The sequence below is a fragment of the Homo sapiens genome, chromosome 10 (genome assembly GCF_000001405.40).
Source record: "Homo sapiens chromosome 10, GRCh38.p14 Primary Assembly".
NCBI lineage: Eukaryota > Metazoa > Chordata > Mammalia > Primates > Hominidae > Homo > Homo sapiens.
In genome coordinates, this window is record NC_000010.11 from 47,335,639 (window position 1) to 47,338,388 (window position 2,750).

General features: G+C 44.0%; 1 annotated feature.

The window, feature by feature from the left end:
- Nucleotides 323-823: an enhancer, noted in NCBI's record as "H3K4me1 hESC enhancer chr10:48402901-48403401 (GRCh37/hg19 assembly coordinates)". NCBI's record gives its function as "activates a minimal SCP1, AML or CMV promoter by ChIP-STARR-seq in primed H9 embryonic stem cells {active_cell/tissue: H9 hESC(primed)}" and the evidence as "EXISTENCE:reporter gene assay evidence [ECO:0000049][PMID:30033119]".

A 2,750-nucleotide genomic window follows, 5' to 3' on the forward strand; every position in this document is an offset into this window, starting at 1 on the left:
TGAGGCTCAGCAGTGGACACAAAATGAAGGGAGACCCAGCCCAAAAGACATGAAGCTGCAAACATTTTTCAAATCCCCGACAATGCCCGAGGTGTGACCACCTCATGTGAGCCAGGTGGGCAGTGTGTGAGCACTCAGTACCCCCACATCACACTCAAATCCTGGAGGCCATGCTGCAGCCCAACCTCTGGCACCTTTTGTGGTCATCTATGTTAGTGCTGGACCATTCTTCTTCCCTTCTCTGGACAATGCTCCCACTAGGCAGTATTTGGGCCACCTCTTCCTCTGGCTCAGTGACCATCATCCTAGTTTGCCTGGCATGGTTCTGGTTAACGCCTGTTGTTCCTGTGTAACTAGTACTAGGGTACTGGACGATGTTATGCAGTATCCCCAGTCAGGGGCAGCTCAGGAGCCAATAGCAGAGGCCAACTGGAAACAGCAGGGTGGCTGTCAGGGCGCGGAGGGAGGGTTGGCCCTGCCTGTGTTCAAATCCTGACCAGGTCACATACTGGCTGCATGGTCACAGCCAGGAGACATGGATCACTGGGTCCTTGCTCATCATCCACAAAGTGCCACATACACAAATGTTTCCCAGGTTCTCGGGAAGCCTGCACTTCTGTCCTTGCCTGCTTCTCTTTGTGTGTAATGCTCAGGAAAACATTTGAGCCACGGCGTTCTCTGTCACCTGAAACCTTCATTTGTTCCTCATTCTTTTTTTCCTTCCTCTCTTCATTGTCTTTCCCACACTCTCCTAGTGCCATTGGCCTTTCTAGTCATACCTGAGTTGGAAGTTGCCGCGCGCACACCCCCAGGCCCTCCGTCTGCCAGGCAGCCACAGCCTCCCGAAGACAAGCCAAGTGCCCGCGGCTCTCAGGGAAAAGATCCTAATGCCTGTTTATTGCTGGAGTTCAGACACACGCATACGTCTGATGGGCTTAGGGGAAACAGCAGGAAGAAACACAAACAGAGAGGCCACGTCATGGAAGAACTTTCCTAAACGAGGATGGCACCCCACATTGCTGTGACTAAGAGTTCAGGCACAGTGAGAGGAGGAATGTATGCTTTAGAGAAACTCTAGTCATTCACACAATGTGTGTGTCTGCCATCAATGAGATGGTATTTTTTCCTGGAACCTACTTGGAGTTCTGAGAATTCAAGTGCTCCCTAAGCCTGGACTGTTCTCAGAACAGAGAGGCTTAATATGGGCATAAGAACGGAGTGCCTTGAGGAGCCAGCTTCCGGTCCAAGTGTCGTTTTTATCCTTGAGCTTCATGAGATGTCATTGACAAATAAAATTGCATATACTTACAGTATACGATGTGATGTTTGTGTATACACTGCAAAATGATTGAATCAAGCTAATTAACATATCCATCACCCTACATGCTTTGTGGTGAAAATGTTTAAGATCTACTCTCTTATGATTTTCAAGTATACAGTACAGCATTATTAACCACAGTCACTAGGCTACACAGAAGATTTCTGGAATTTATGTATCCTTTGTACCCTTTGACCAACATTTTCCCATTTCCCTTTCCTGACTCCTCGCCCAGCACGTGATAATCCAGTTTATGTTTAGACTGACTGTGCTTCTGGAGAAATCTTTTAACCTCTCCGAGCCTCAGATTCTTCTCCTAAAAAACGGCAACCATACTACCTGTGATGACTGATTTTATGTCAACTTGACTATCCGATGGTGCCAAACTGTTTGGTGCAGCACTAGTTGAGATGCTGCTGGGAAAGTATTTAGTGGATGTGATACACTTTTGCTACCAGTAGCCTGTACGTGAAGCAGATTATCCGCCATAATGTGGGTGGGTCTCATCTAATCAGTTCAAGGCCTGATGAGCAGTTTCCTGAGGAAGAAGCAATCAGCCTCAAGACTACAACAGAGAAACCCTGTCTGAGTTACCAGCCAGCTGCCTGCCCTGTCAAATTTGGTCTCAAGACTACAGCATCGACTCTTGCCTGAATTTGCAGTCTGCTGGGGCTTGCACAACAGATTTCAGACTTTCCAGCTCCCACAATCACATGAACCTATTATTTAAAATAAACATCTCCATTTTACATCTCCCCATAAGACTCCTTAAAGCGGGGATGTAAAAGGGAGATGTTTATTTTAAAGAATAGGCTCATGATATCTCTGGATTGTAATGATTAAATGAGAACATGGTGTACAACTGCATTTCCATATGCAAAAGAATAAATTTGCTTCCTTACCTCATAGCATAATCAAAACTTAACTCAAAATGGATCAAGGACCTAAAAATAAGAGCTAAAACTCTTAGAAGAAAACATAGGGGTAAGTCTTTATGAGCCTGGCTTTGGAAAAAGATTCCTAGATATGACATCAAGAGCAATGAAGGCAAAATTAGATAAACTGGACTTCATCAAAATGAAAACATTTTGTGCTTCAAAGGACATCTTCAAGAAAGTGAAAGATTAATCCACAGAGTGAGAGAGAATACTTGCTAATTACGTATATGATAGGGGACTTGAATCTAGCATATATAAAAAACTCTTACAACTCAATAATAAAATGATAAATAACCTAATTTTTAAAATAAGCAAATCATCTAAATAGACATTTCTGCAAGGAAGATACACAAATGGCCAATAAGCACATGAAAAGATGCCCAACTTCATTAGTCATCAGGCAGTGCAGATCAATGCTGTAATGAGATACCCCTTCACACCCACTGGGATGGCTATGATCAAAAAGTTGGATAATAATTGTTTTCAAGGTTGTG